Source organism: Homo sapiens, chromosome 6 (assembly GCF_000001405.40).
Source record: "Homo sapiens chromosome 6, GRCh38.p14 Primary Assembly".
Lineage (NCBI taxonomy): Eukaryota > Metazoa > Chordata > Mammalia > Primates > Hominidae > Homo > Homo sapiens.
The window spans coordinates 137,938,427-137,954,258 of NC_000006.12; the positions used below are offsets into that span (position 1 = coordinate 137,938,427).

The 15,832-nt window shown below is 39.3% G+C and overlaps 2 long non-coding RNA genes across 2 annotated transcripts; one reads left to right on the forward strand and one right to left on the reverse strand.

Moving 5' to 3' along the window:
* Positions 1–4,648: 4,648 nt before the first annotated feature.
* Positions 4,649–7,374, reverse strand: SIMALR (suppressor of inflammatory macrophage apoptosis lncRNA). Its single transcript, NR_149097.1, has 2 exons — positions 7,243–7,374; positions 4,649–5,091 (listed from the first exon to the last, which is right to left on the reverse strand). It is a non-coding gene; the product is annotated as a suppressor of inflammatory macrophage apoptosis lncRNA (long non-coding RNA).
* LINC02865 (long intergenic non-protein coding RNA 2865) lies at positions 6,922–13,377 on the forward strand. The gene is made up of 2 exons (NR_174953.1): positions 6,922–7,040; positions 12,715–13,377. It is a non-coding gene; the product is annotated as a long intergenic non-protein coding RNA 2865 (long non-coding RNA).
* The last annotated feature ends 2,455 nt before the right edge of the window (positions 13,378–15,832 follow it).

Here is a 15,832-nt window from a genome sequence, read left to right on the forward strand (position 1 = left end):
CTACCGCTGTTGGGTGGAATGTTCTGTACATGTATATTAGGTCTATTTGGCCTATAACATTCTTCAAGTCTGCTGTTTTCTTTTTGATTTTCTGTCTGGATGATCTATCCATAGTTGAAAGTCAGGTACTGAAGTCCCATACTATTATTTTATTGTTGTCTATTTTTCCTTTCAGTTCTTTTAGTACTTGCTTAATATATGAATATTTAGGTGCTCCAATGTTGGGTGCATATATATGTACAATTGCTATATCCTCTTGATGAATCTGTCTCTTTATTATTATATAGTAACCTTCTTTGACGCTTGTGACGGTTTTTGACTTAAAGTATATTGTATCTCATGTAAGTATAGACACTCCTGCTCTTTTTTTGGTTACCATTTTCATGCAATATTTTTTTCCCATCTCCTTACTTTCAGCCTGCATGTGTTTTTAAAGCTAAAGTGAGTCTCTCGTATGCAGCATATAGTGAGGTCTTTTTTTTTTAATCCATCAGCCACTTTATGACTTTACATTTGAGAATTTGACCCATTTACATTTAAAGTATATTATTGATAGGCAAGAACTTATTACAGCCACTTTAATTGTTTTCTCACTGTTTTGTAGTTCCTTTGTTCCATTCTTCCTCTATTGTTGTCCTCTTTTATAATGTAATGATTTTTGGTGGTAGTTTGCTTCCTTTCTCTTTATCTTTTGTGTATCTATTACAGCTTTCTGGGGGGATGCTTACCATGAGGCTTACATAAAGTATCTTGTAGTTATAACAGCCTACTTTAAGCAGGAAACAACTCAACTTCAGCTGCATGTGGGTGTTCATTGCCACTGGACCTGCTTTACAAGAAATTCTAAAGGGAGTTCTGCAAGTTGAAATGAAAAGATGCTAAATAACAACATGAAAACATATGAAAGTATAAAGCTCACTAGAAAAGTAAGTAGTCAAATTTAGAAAAACTCTACACTTTAACTTTCCTCCTCCATATTTTACATTACTGATGTCACAATTTACCTCTATTGTATATCATGTATATTAACAAATTATTATAGCTATAGTTATTTTTAATACTTTTGTCTTTTAACTTTTACATTGGAGTTAAAAGTTATTTATGCACCTACATTACAATATCAGAGTATCCTGAATTTGACTACATTCTTATTTTACAGTGAGTTTTATACTTTCTTATGTTTTGACGTTGTTAGCTTTTTTTTGTTTGTTTCAACTTGAAGAACTCCCTATAGCATTTCTTTTTCTTTTTCTTTTTCTTTTTTTTTTTTTTTTTGAGACAGAGTCTCACTCTGTCACCCAGGCTGGAGTGCAGTGGAGCAAACTCTGCCTCCCAGGTTCATGCCATTCTCCTGCCTCAGCCTCCCGGGTAGCTGGGACTACAGGTGCCCGCCACCATGTCCAGCTAATTTTTTTTTGTATTTTTAGTAGAGATGACTGTGTTAGCCAGGTTGGTCTCAATCTCCTGACCTCGTGATCTGCCTGCCTCAGCCTCCCAAAGTGCTGGGATTATAGGCGTGAGCCACCACACCCAGCCCCCTATAGCATTTCTTATAAGACAGGATATAGCTAACATCCCCAGGTGGTCTCCTTGCTTCCTCCATCCCACCTTGCCCCCTAAACTCTAGCATCCATTATATGAGGCTGACCCCTTGTGTTCTGCTATGGGATATGTAAAGTGAAGACAAAGAATTCAAGAGGCTACGTGCAATTCCTGATGCTACCTGAAACTAACTCTGATTCAAACTCTGTAATAAGTTTTCTGGTATTTGCTTAGTATTTCCTAGTTTTGCGTAGTGCAATAGCCTGTTCAATCATCCACAAAAATTGGGTAAATGCCCTTTAACTTTTTCTGTCTTCATCAAAATGGACTATAGAACTTGAAGCTGTTGGCTTTGTGTGCTCACCAGAGAGTCATCAGTTTTACAACTGAGACATTTTAGTGGTTTAGGGGGACTCCTCCCACATCTTCTCTAAACCCTTTTTTAGAAAAGGCAACTATAGGGGAATTCTGGTTATAACACCTCCTCCACACACATGCTTCCCCCTGTACCCCTCTTCAGGAAGCTGCCCATGTACTGGATCTAAAAACCTCAGACAAGTCTGAGAACTCCTGATCCAACATGCTGCCCAGGTTTCAAAGGGTTCTTATAAATCAGATTATGGCAGAAATTTCCAGACACTTTTTGGAGTGTTTGGGCATAAACAAAATCACTAATAAATATTAGATCATCCTATAGTGTCTTTACTTTCCCAGTTGTACCTATCCTGCACTTAAAAGAAATGACCCAAGGTTTCTGGACCCAGTAAAGACACTCCTAAGACAACATGAGAAGCCAGAATCCTTTGGGAGACTTTTCAATGAAGAGAGTTCAGAAAGCAAGGAAATGACAAGTCCTAACAAGTTGTTAGGAGAAAATGTACCATAATATGAATACCAAAATAAACGATATAGTTCTACATGGAGAATTCTTGCATACATTCATATTCAGGAGATTTGGGTGGGGAATGGAGTGTTCTGTTTAATTATTAGTTAGAATATAGTTTATTCATTAGAATATTGGTTTGGCTGCAGTTACAATGAGACTCAAAATAACAGCGACTTTAAAAACACATACTTTATTTGCCTGTAATACAAAAACACAGGTTGGCAATTCAGGCTGGTAAATTAGCCCCACAATCTTGACGGTCTTCTTTTTGTCGCTCTCTCATCCTCAACAGCTGGTTTCCATCTGAAAGTCCATAATGGCTGGCTTAACTCCTATCATCCTGCCAGCTTCCCAGCCAACAAAGAGAGCACAGGGGATGAGATGGCACATCCCTTAGCTTTAAGAGCACAGCCAACAGTGTACATAGTACCTTTATTCAGAGTCCACTGGCCAGAACTGAGTCCATAGCTATAACTATCTGCAATGAGTGCTGCGAAATAGAAGCTTTAGTTGGGCAACCATAGATTCTCTTATGAGAAGAAGAGAATGGGTCCTTGAGGGCAATTATTAGTTCTTCCACAGCCTACTTTCTAAGGATTAGAATACAATATCTAGAATTAATATAGAAAGTGGTTCTATAATTAACTACCAATCCCTTCTCACCAAAGAATTGGCAAAAAGCATAGTCTGGAGTAACTCCACTTTTATTATTATGATTGCATATATTTTTTTCTTAATCTCCCTCTGTGGCCCACATGTTTTACATGCCACATTGGTCTACGAAGTTATCATCATTTCTTTACAAACATTTTACATACTTTTATACTAATTTCACATACTTTTTAGTCTCTGGGCCTAAAGTTTCTAAATATTCTAATTTAAAGGAAGACTTTTCATTGACATTTCTATAGGTATTGATAATTTTGATGTGTATTGAAGAGACCAAACAATGTGTAAACTTTAAGGAGGCAATTTGGGGAAGCAGAAATATTATCAAGTTTAGATCAGATTTTTCTTTATATCAAATCCCAGCTCAACTTTTTACTAATTACTTGCTCTTAGACCAGTTAATTTACTTTTCTGAGCCACATATTTATTGGTTTTAGGTAGGGGGTGGGCTAAAATATATCCTTGCAAGTTTATTACAAGGATTAAATGATTCATTCCATAACAAATGTCTAGCAGAGTGCCTGCTACATAGCAGATGCTTAGTAAATGGCTATCTTCTTTATACACTTGCTAACTTCTTTATACACTTCACAAAATTCCTGCCACACTCCATCTACAAGTGATCTTCCTCTTTCTCTGCTCTGCGTTGTGAAAAGTTGAAGACGGCTCTGATGTTTTGGTGAGTCAAGCACCATTTTAAAGTGGTGTACTGCCTGAAGAATTCTTTCCCAGAGTGTAGAAATCATTTGCTCTATGAAATCTTCATCATCCCTTGCAGTTCCTCCTCCAATGGTCCAGGAGAGTTGGATTTTACTATTTTCTTTTTTTGCTGTTTAATTTGTTTTATAAATTAATATTTTGCTACTTAGTTGTTTCATCCCAGCCATGTGTGCTATATGTGCTTAAGGTCTGATCATCTTTATTTACCAGTTTATATCATTTGTAAACCTAAGAAGAATTTCAGGCAGCTTAAAAAGTTACGTCTAGTACAGTAAACTTTTTTAAAAATGGAAGATAAAATTAGAAAAATGAAACAAATGGAAAACAAAGAATAGGACATAAATGAAGTCAGTGGTGAAATGAGTGCCCAAATGCACACACCCTCAGAGATTGTAGATGCCTCCGTTTGTCATCAGATTAGAAACTGGGTGTCACAGTGTATTTTGCTAGGATTGTCATAACAAAAGATCACAAATTTGTTGTCTCACAGGTCTGGAGGCCAGAAGTCCAAGATCAAGATGTTGGCAGGGTTGGTTCCTTCTGAGGCCTGTGAAGGAAGGATCTGTTCCAGGCCTCTCCCCTTTGGCTTGTACCTGACCATCTTTATGTTCACATGGTGTTCTGCCTGAATGTGTCTGTGTCCAAATTACCAGTTGTATCAGATTAGGGCCCATCCCAATGACCTCACTTTAACTTGATTACTTCTGTAATGTCTGCATCTCCAAATAAGGTCACACCCTAAGGTACTAGAGGTTAGGACTTCAAAATACATATTATGGGGAGACACAATTCAACCCATTGCTTTCAACAAAGCAAACTCAGAGCTCATTGTTTTGTTCTATTTTGTGTTTTATGAGTTTTTTTATTTTTCAAAATCTTGCTTCAGGACTTGACAGGGCTTTAGCGAGATCTTTTAAATATTAATTACTGTATAAAGGACCAGAGAGAGGCCCCAGTCATGTGGGCTTTGGGATCACAACGATTCTGCTAGAAGGCAGCTTGCTGTCCCTTGGACTAATTACACTCTAAGAGCCACTGGAAGTGGAGGCTTTTTCAGCTCTCCTATTCTACATCTCTTTAGTCCTCTATAATTAACATAAACTATACCCTCTTCCATAATGTTTTCTAGCACTCTCTGGAGTTCACAATTGCTTTTGTATTCTGGTAGTTTCATTGTAGGTTTGTTGAGTGCATAACCAAAATATCTATAGAATCTGGGTAAATGTCCTTTCACACCACTGACAGAAACGTCAGCCAAGAATCTGTCTGGAAACCTATGAGAAAGAAAAAGATTTTCACCTTTCTAAATTTTTAATACAAATAACAATACACAACAATCTCATCTTTATGGCAGTAATGTCTGAACATTTCTTAAGAAAGCAAGAAGGTGTGGAAATCAAAATTTTAGAGACAGAAGACTTTAAATGCCATCTCCTTCTCAGGGTAGAGAATTGAAGCCAGAAGGATGAAGTCTTCTGGCTCCCAAACTAACATTCCTTTTATTAGGCTTTTTTTTTTAAATCGGACCCAAATACCACCTATAGACTGCACATGAGGATTTAGTACAGGTGCCCTTTACCTGAACCCCCTAAAGCCAAGTGTGTTTCTGAATTCAAGAATTCTTTGGGCCAAGCGCAGTGGCTCACACCTGTAATCCCAGCACTTTGGGAGGCCGAGGCGGGCAGATCATGAGGTCAGGAGATTGAGACTATCCTGGCTAACATGGTGAAACCCCGTCTCCACAAAAAAATTACAAAAAATTAGCCAGGTGTGGTGGCATGTGCCTGTAGTCCCAGCTACTCAGGGGGCTGAGGCAGGAGAATCGCTTGAATCCAGTGGGGCGGAGGTTGCAGTGAACCGAGATCGCACCACTGCACTCCAGCCTGGGTGACAGAGCGAGACTCCGTCTCAAAAAAAAAAAGAATTCTTTGGATTTTAGAAAGACAGTTCAGCACAATGTACATACCCTACATCCCTTAACATTCCCAGTAGGGTCAGGGAGAGCTACTTCTAATCAAACACACTAATATTTCTGCAGCAAAGTGTATGAATGTCCACATTATGTGCAATAAATAAGGATCATTTATAGTGTGATGTCACTTCATGGATCAGATTTTGCCACCAAAATGAGCTATGAAAACCCAGCGGTTTTCAGTTTTCAGTACTCTTTAGATTTTAGGATTAAGGATAAAAGATTGTTCACTCTCCTTAATCTACAAGTGAGATTCTCAAGCTGTGTTTTGCAGAACTACTTAAGAGTGCCCCAGCCCAGAAGCACTGAATCAGATTCTTTGGGGTGTGGCCTGGGAATTGGAATTTTTGACAAACAACCCAGCTGATACTGATGCAGACGCTGGGGAAACACTTCAAGAAACACTGCCTAGGGCATAGTGCTATACGGCATGGGAAACAGATGGGAACCTCAGCTGGGCTATTTTCATCACATGCCTCTCCCCAAACCTCCCTTTGACATCACTTTGACCCTGCAGTCAAGTTTCACAGAATTTTTCTATGACATTTTGATGGAGGTGGGTGTCCAAAGACAGGAATATACAAAGATCAAAGGGACAGGAGAGAAAAACAAAACAGAAAAAGGCAGACAGAATTACTATTCTAAACTCAAGCTACAGTCTGGTCATCAGATTATGTCACATGTATTCATTCACTATACGGAGTATGCGTTATTGGTCAGACGCTGGTGCAGGTATTTGGACAATCACAAAATAATTCTAGACCAAGTAATTTTCCCTTTTGGTAATTCTTGTTTCTCTCTATACCACTTGTTGTTTTGGGTTTTGTTTTGTTTTTTAAGGAGTGGGCATCAGCCACTGAAGCACATTGAGTCCTTCCAGGCAGTAGCTCCACCTGCTGGAATAGAAGGAAACTAATCAGTGTCCCACTGTTTCATATAGATGAGCCTTCGCATGTACTAAATCACAATTCACTATTTGACCAGGTCACTTGTGCTAATGGAAGTTGTTTGTCAGCTATAGGTAAGCGGAGGAGAGAATTACCCACGTAACCCCATCAGAGAGCATTAGACTAATCTACATGGTTGAGAAGGCTTTAGTGTTAAATAGGTTAACACCCAGTGAAATTTCCCTAATATAGCCTGTGCTGGATGGAGATGCACTGACCTTCCTTGCAAGAGCCTTTCCCTGAAGTTGGGCTCCTGAGAGAAGTTCTGAACATGGCTATCCCTGCCTTTTCATCTTGTCAGCAGGTAATGAGCTAGGCATGGGAGCTCAGAATACCACCAAAAGCCCTTTAGGGGCTATCCAGACTTAGCATTGTGTCTGAAAGTTGCTTTGTTGACCATTTATTTACCCTCTCCTCTATCTCCTCTAGCCCTGTTCATTTTCTCTACAGCACCCATTTCCCCCTAAATTCACTCTGGTTTTACTCACAAAAGGTTATACTCATACCCCTCTTCATCTGGGCATCTGTTTCTCTAGGTTTCTTTTTACATGGGTTTGCATATGGAGATCTGGTTATCTCTGCGGAGGTTTCTGTGTTGATGTCTCTGTTTGGAGGTCTCTCGGTAGGTAGGTGTGTATCCCTGTGGGAGGGAGTAGAGGTGATAAGGTAGTGTTTATGTTTAGATATACCAGTGATCACATGTAGGAACATAACATGCTATTTTCAGCCTGGCTGGCTTCTATGGAAAATGGAGGATTTGGATAAGTGGAGGGGAGGAAAGAGGCTGAGAAGGAAGGAGGGAACATTTGTAGAGGTGGAAATGAGTGTGACCAATAAGGGATCTATGAAAAAAAAAAACAGACTAGAGAAGCCTCCTCCCCAGTGTCAACCCACAAGAGCAGAGACTTTGTTCTCTGGAGTCTCCTTGGAGGCTTGAAGGGGGCCTGACACACAGCAAGCACTCAATATGTGTTGGATGAACAAATGTTATCATTGCGATGGTTACTGTTACATAAAAGTGCATCCTACAGGCATCTAGAGCTTTGTAAGTTGTAGGGTGTTTAGGAATATTTGCGGTGTCAGAAGTAGGTTGGAGAAGGAGGGAGGAGTCAAAGCTGGCCTTGAAAGTCAGACTGTGGAGCTTGAGGTGGAAGGGACTGTTGCAGTAATTGAGGTTGCAGGGGGCAGCGCACTCTGTAGGACTCCTCACAAACGTTGCATCGGCAGTCACAGCTCAGTTCCTTACTAACTGGGTGCTGTGGGACAAGCTTCCCTTCTCACGTCCCTGGATTCTTCTCTTCCGCCTGTCTCAGAAACGTCTGGGCTCCACAGGGCTCAGAACGGAGGCACCTTCTCTTCTCTATGTATATTTTCTCCTGCAGGCCAATGGTTCTAAACACTGTGTATATGCAGATAATCCCATATTTTTACCTCTAGCCAGATTCCTCATCAAGATTCAAGTATTCAGCTGTCTAATTGACCTTTTGATTTGGATCATCTTTTTTTTACATGGCCAAAATAGAACTCTTGATTGCATGTCCCATTTCTCTTTCTCAACACCTGTTTCTACTACTCTGGTCCTCTTAACTCTGTTATTGGCACTGCCATTCACCCAGTTGCTTATGCTAGAAACATCTTTCTGGCTCCTCCCTTCTCCTTGCTTTCCTCTACAGCTCTCAGCTAAAACATAGGCCCCACCTACCCCCTTGTATCCATCTCCACTTGCTCCTTTGGTCCAAGCTCCGTCATCTCCTGCTTCGACTACTGCAATAGGGGCCTTATTTAGTATCCCAGGTTTATCTCATACACCCTTATAAGCCTTTCACCACAATAAAGCCAAAGGGATATTTAAAATTTTAATTTAGATCAGTCACTCACTGCTCAGCTTTCACTGTATTCAGCTTTGCCATGGCATGAGAATAAAACTCCAAACTGGTGGCCATGGTGCATGGGGACCTCCATGTTCTAGGCCATGCCCCTCCTCCCCATCCGCATCCTCCCCAAGGTCCCTGCCCCTACTTTTCTTTAGCCCCTGCTTGTCTTTAAGTCTCTCAAGTATGCCAGCTCCTTCCTGCTCAGAGGCCTTGGCACTCTCCCCTCAGGCCTTTTCAGGATTGAATCCTCCTCATCCCTACGTCTCAGCTTATAGGTAACCTTGCTCCAGATGCCTTCATGAATTAATCTACCTAAAGCAGACCAAGCCACCTGTTACTCCCTCTCACAAGACTTTATTGTTTACTTCACAGGATTCTTCACAGTTTGTAATCATTTCATTTGTTGACTTGGTTTTCCCCACTAGGTTGTAAGTTTTATAAGAGTGAGGACCTTATCTTCAGTACTGTTGAATCTCAAGCTTCTAGAGGAGTTCCTGGCACAGACTAGACACTCAGTAAACATTTACTTAACATATGAATGAGCCTCCATAACCCTCATTTTCTTATTCTATGACCTAAGGATAAAAATACAACCTGCCTTATAGAGTGGTTATGAGGATTAAATGAGAAAATAGAACTTAATAAATGTTAGCCATTATTATTATTACATTATTATTAGTAGTATTGTATTTCTAATACTATGTACTTAGTCTTACTAATATTAATACTATTCTACCACATTACTACTAATACTATAGTAATAGTTTTTAGTAGTTAATTTCCACTACCTTATACTGGTTTTTGAAAAGAAAAATACTACTACTGTAGTAGTAGTATTATTCTTTTCAACAACTATTATATGGTAGTTAAAATTAACTACAATTTACAAATAAGTAAACAAAGATCATAAATATAAATAGCCTACTCATGATCACTTACCTAGCATACATTACAGCTTAAATTTTAAGAGTAAAGAGTTGCAAATAAATACAGATCTTAAGCCTGAATGATTGGAGGGAAGGTGTTACTGATGGCATAAATAGGGTTTTTGAACAGAGGTGACTCTAAAAAAAATGAACTCATGTTGTGCTGAGTGAATAGCTGGATATTCCTGGGAAGATGCCTCACAGACTATCGGACATACAGAACTTTTACTCAGATGAGAGGTGAGCGGTTGGAGATTTGAGCATTAGATGAATATAATATCTCAGTTGTGATCATAATACCATACCTGGAACACACACACACACACACACACACACACACACACACACACTCTCTCTCTCTCTCTCTCTCTCTCTCTGGGACCGAAAGAGTTGCTGCTCTTTGCTCCTCAAATAGGCCTTTCCCTCTCTCTAATTTCTCACCTTCTTATTCATCCAACCCCCCAGCTGACATTTCCTTCCATCTTTCCCATCCTAGACCTTCCCCTGCAACACCCCATGTGCATTTTGGAGGCTCACTATGCAGTCCTTAAGAATGGAATTAACTTCAACACCTTCAAGCAAATCTTTACCAGCTCATGTAGGATCAGGTTCAGGTGTCATGAACTTTTCAGAATAGGACAAATAAACAAAGTATCACAAAAACTCTTTCTCTTATATTTGTCTCTAAAAATAGCTAAAATTTATAGAGCATTGATATGCCAGATGCTAAGTATTATATATATGTTAACTAATTTGTTCTTTATAACAACCCTATGAGGTAGGTGGTATTGTTTTCTCTATATTATAGTGGAAACTGAGACACAAAATAGTTAAGAAATATGTCTAATGTTACAAAACTGTTATGCTATGATTGGTTTGAAAACAACTGGGGTAGACTGGGTATGGTGGCTCATGCCTGTAATCTTAGCACTTTTGGAGGCCAAGGCACGTGGATCAGTTGAGGCCAGGAGTTCAAGTGCCCAGGTTGACCAGCCTGGCCAACATGGCGAAACCCCGTCTCTACTAAAAATACAGAAATTAGCTGGGAGTGGTGATGTACACCTGTATTCCCAGCTACTCAGGAGGCTGAGGCACGAGAATTGCTTGAACCCAGGAGGCAGAGGTTGCAGTGAACTGAGATCTCTGCACTCTAGCCTGGGCAACTTCATCTCAAACAAAAAAAAAAAAAAAAGGAAAGAAAAAGAAAAGAAACTGGAGTAGATTTGGAGGGAAGAGAGAGGAAACCTATAAGGAGGTTGCAGTTAGAGAAAAGAACATTTATAACTAAGATCCTAAAGGAAAAATAATCCCCTGGGATCTGCAACTCTTAGATCACCTCAAAATATAAAATATTAAAAATGAGAATGTCATGTCACCTCTAAAGTTCAGTGACATTTGGTGAAAAGAATAGCAGCCAAAACTTTTTAGTCTGGTCACTAGACATAGCTCTGCCAACAACCAGGTAAGAGATTTTAGGCAAGTTCCTCTCTAATCTCTGGGGCTCAGTTTCCTCCTTTGTACTAGAAAGGGGCTTGACTAGTTAACTTCTGAGGGCTTTTATACTTGAATTACTACATCGGTTTATTAGGCTGCCTAGCTGTGTACATCACCAGTCTGCAAACATATTCTTCTTTAAGCACGAGTTTCTTCATGTTACTTCCCGACCCCAAAACACTTTTTGACGCTTTCTCTTGCCTTTGTGCTGCCATCCCCCAAATAGCTGTGACAATCTTGATATTAGAAATAGCCATCTTGTGGGGAAAAACCTCAAGCTTCCCATTTGTTTTCTAGTATTAACTATCAGAAGAATTTACTGGTAATCCACTTAAAGAGATGAAGCCTTATTAAAACCAAAAACAAGTGGCTCATGGGAAAGCTTTTGTGCACTTGAGCATAACTCCTCATTTGTGTCAGCCAAAGGTTGTCCTGACTTATATTGTCATGCATTTTAACCAAATTAAGGTATCACATCATCATTACAAGTTTCACAATTTGTATCCTGGAGTTGTCTTGTTCTTTTTTCTTTTACCAAAAAATCTGAGTTTAAGGAAAAACTTTAACCTGAAAAGTGAGCGGACTCACTTAGCACAATGTCAGCTGACCTACTTGTTTCAGTTTAAATGAAACTAACTTTTGCTCTTAATTCTCCCTTCTTCTTTCCTCTCCCCTACTCTCACCTACTTCCTGGAAAATGTCATTCAGGTCAGAGTTCTTAGATGCAATGTGAGATGGTTTCTGTCTTCCCAACCAGGTGATTTAGCACCTGGGCCTGCATGTTGCTATAGCTGCAATGTTTAGACATGGGTTTGCAAGTGAGTAGAGTCTAAAAACAGAGTTTTGTTGATAATGCATATGCCACAGAATTCTTGAATTGCTTAGTTACCATTGAGCTTGGTTATAAGTAGAAACCACTTATTTAAAAAAGAAAAAAAAAAACCACCATTTGCAAATGAGATCTACTGAAAGGCAAATAAAGCCTTGTTTAAAAGTGTGGCTATTATCAGTAATAGCAATTATGATGATTTATGCTGCTTGGTACATTTCCACATAGGCTTTATATGCATTTTTAATAATAATTCTCAAAACCATGGAGGAGGGGGACAGGCATTCATTCATTCACTCGTTCATTCAATCAACTGTCCTAGCTTGTGAGAAGGACAAACGGCCAGACCGCTTTTTGAGACAATGAACAGGTAGTTAGAGAAAAGGTCGGGTATTTGCAGGGCTGATTGCATCCTGGGACTCAGAAGGTCCAGAAGTGATACACCAGGAGCTCAAGAATTGCAACCATAATTTATGCAAATGATTCACACTAGAGTTAATAGTACAAGTTACAGAAACCCGACAGCTGGACAGGAAGAGGCTATTTTAGATTCAAGCCAACAGGTGGGCATCACCTGGGATTCATCATTGCAATCTTGCTAGAGCAGCATATTCCCACCTTGTCAAGAAGAAGGACCCACGTTTAACATCAAAATGTCTTGGGGACTCCCCACACGCTAATTGTCATCTTCTTTATATCTGTTAATTGAGAAATATATAACAATAAAAATCTGTTCATTAAAAATATATAACGATAAAAATCAACTAGGAATCAGCAGAGATTTAACATGAATTTATATTTCACTAATTCTACCAGTGCTATGCCAGTTTTCAATTTATTACCTCTTTGTTCCAGATTTCTTCAGCAGCTGCTCTACAAATATGCAATGGACCCTTTAAGCATTTCTCCTTTACAGTGAGCACAATGCTAAGCTTTGTCAGCAGATGCCACTGGAGCAGCATTGCAGAAGAAAGCGAGTTTCTCTTCCTGATTTTGGTGTGCTACTTTTCTTCTTCTTGCTCCAGCTGCATTATCCATCAGTGGTACTATGTATAAGACCATCCCGCTGTGCCCTGCCCTACCACCTGCCCAGAGGCACATCCCTCACTGACTATTTGGCCTGATTCTGAGCCTGTGGCCACCTTCTCACAGCCCTGCAACACAGGCACTGTGTGCTCCAGGCCTCACGTCCCCAGCAGTGGCCTGACTGTGCACTTAGCCACAGCCTCAGTTTGCCTGTGCTCCAAGAAATTGCATCCTATTTGCCCAGCAGCTATGGACCAGCTCCTGGTCCTGGAAAACAGCAGGCTTCTCTGACATCTAGTGGACTGCAAACACACCTTCTCCAACAAGGCCTGACCCCAGCCTTAAGGAGAGAACCGTCTTTCCGAGTTGTCTTTCCTTGGGTACTCTCCCTCAATCCTCGGATACCCTTGAAAGTTCTCTTTACATTGTTATAGTTATTCTTCTATCACTGTCGAATAATTTTTTATATTAAACTTCTCTTGCTTTACATTACTATGTGGTTTCTGTCTCTTGCTTGAACTCAGACTGATAGAAGTTCATTTGGAAAAACAGCAACACTTATGTGTACGAGATATTCAATCTACAGATAACATTTGGTATAAGAAAGCATTCTCAAATCCCTTGCTACTGATACCTGCAACCTTCTAGTGTCCATAGTCACCAAGTCAGGAAACCCTGGACTAAAAATGGACAGATTGGCAGGAAGAAAGAATCCTTGACATGAAAATGAAGCTATTTGGGGGATAAGGTGAACAGTGTAGGATGCAGGAAGCTTTGATTGCTAGGGAACAGTGTTGGTGTTCAGTGGTCAGCCCTGCTTCCTCTTCATCCAGAATCTATGAAATTCACAAAGATAAAGTCTGTCTTGGATTGAAGAGATGGGAAAGAGTAGACTGGGGCTATATGCAGTCAGAATTGGCTCAAACACTAGACTGGGATGTAGCCTATGGATGGATATCAGCTCTATCCCAGCCTATGGAGCCTACGGATGTAGCCTATGGATATAGGCTTCATCCCATTCCAGTGTCTGAGCCAATTCTGACTGCATATAGCCCCAGTCTATATGTACTCCGAAGGGGGAGGGGAGGCAACAGCAAACCCAATAGTGAAGATCAGAGAACAGCTGGGAGATGCAGGGCAGAGCTGACATCAGCATTTATTAAGCACCTGTTTGACAGAAGAGTATATAAGGCAGGGGGATATTAGGTTAACTGCTCAAGAGCATCCAGTTTACAAGTGGAATGTGCATGCTTAGAAAACAGGTCACCTGCTTCTTAAATAGGAATTCCTCTTTATCACACTGCTAATCTTCCCTGGGCTTACTATTAGGGGTAGAACAGATGGTTTTTGTCATTTTCTACATTCCAGAACAGATTAAGGACTCACCTATTTATTGAAGATATTGATGAAATTGGGTTTTTTTGAAATATCTGGATCTGGCTTTTGGAGGATTCGATTTGGGAGAACATTTTAAATTCCTCTTTGATTTTCCACCAGATTGGGGCTTTTTAAGCTATTCCTTGGCTCAATTTTGGTAATTTACAATTCTCCCCAAAAAAAGATTTATTTCATCTAAATATTCAATTTATGTGCTTAATGTTGTAAGTAGTATTTAATTTCTAAGTATCTTCTATATCTGTGGCCAAACTGATTTTTTACAACAAATGATAATGTTACTGTGTTTTCTTCCCTTTCTTTCTTTGTTCCCTTTCCCTTTCTTCTGTGGTCACAGAAGCCAGGGGTTTACCTAAGTTTTTCCATAGAACCAGCTCTGTGTTTTTCATGTCAATTCTATTCCATTGTTTTCCTTGTTTCTTTGTTTTCAATTTGATAGAAGCAGTGTTATGGGAGATCTCAGATGCAGAGATGTGTTAATTATACTCTCTTCTTTATGGCTCATATCACAATTATTCTGGATGAGACAGTATAATTATTTTAATTATTTTGTCTTTTCACTCTACCATCATCTTCACTCCCATTCCCTTCTCCTGAATATACTTCTTACTGTCCTTGGGTCTGTGTGTATCTTAGGAAAAATATAATATGTTTTTAAATTTATTTTACTCAACTGCTTGATTTTAACATCTACGCACGTTGTATGCTTATGTTAGTTTCCTATTGCTGCTATAATAACTTATTACAAACTTAGTGGCTTCAAAGAACAAAAAAAATTCTCTAAAACGTAACACATTTCTTTTATAACCTGCAAGTGGGAAAGTCTATTACCTAAAATCCAGAAGCCATGACAATGATTGTTACAGTGACTATACAAAAACCTACAAATCCTCCATGCCAACACACACACACACAAACACACACACATACACACACCCCTGTAGGCAAAGCAAAGAAACAAATGATAACCTGGGTAGAAGTCATGAATATTTTGCTAAAATTCACAATTCCTATTATAAAGGGCTAATCTCTTACATAAAGAGCTCCTACAAATCAATAAGACCATCAACCCTGCATAAAAATGAGCAAAGAATATGAACAGATTGTTCACACTAAAATAACTGCAAGTGATTTTTAAACATGTGAAAAGATGATCAATGTTGACTTACAAGAGGAATGCAAATTAAAAATACATGGAAATACTACTTTTCTTTCATTAGAAGGGCAAAAATCCAGAAGTTCGGTGACTGTCTTGTCAAGACTGTGGGAAAACAGGCAGGAATGTAAACAGTTACAAACCCTCTGGAGGGCAATGTGGCAAAATTACAATAATCTATCAAAAATGTAAGACTATATATGCTTTAACCAGGCACTTCTAGAAATTTATCCTAAAGATAAACTACCACATACACAATGACATATGTACATTTTGTGATCTATTTAAAAGAGTAAGATTGAAAACAATGTAAATGTCCATCAATAGAGATTCTTAGTTATGCCTCCACCAAAAAAAATAAATTATTCTCTTACAGTTCTGGAGGTCAGAAGTCCA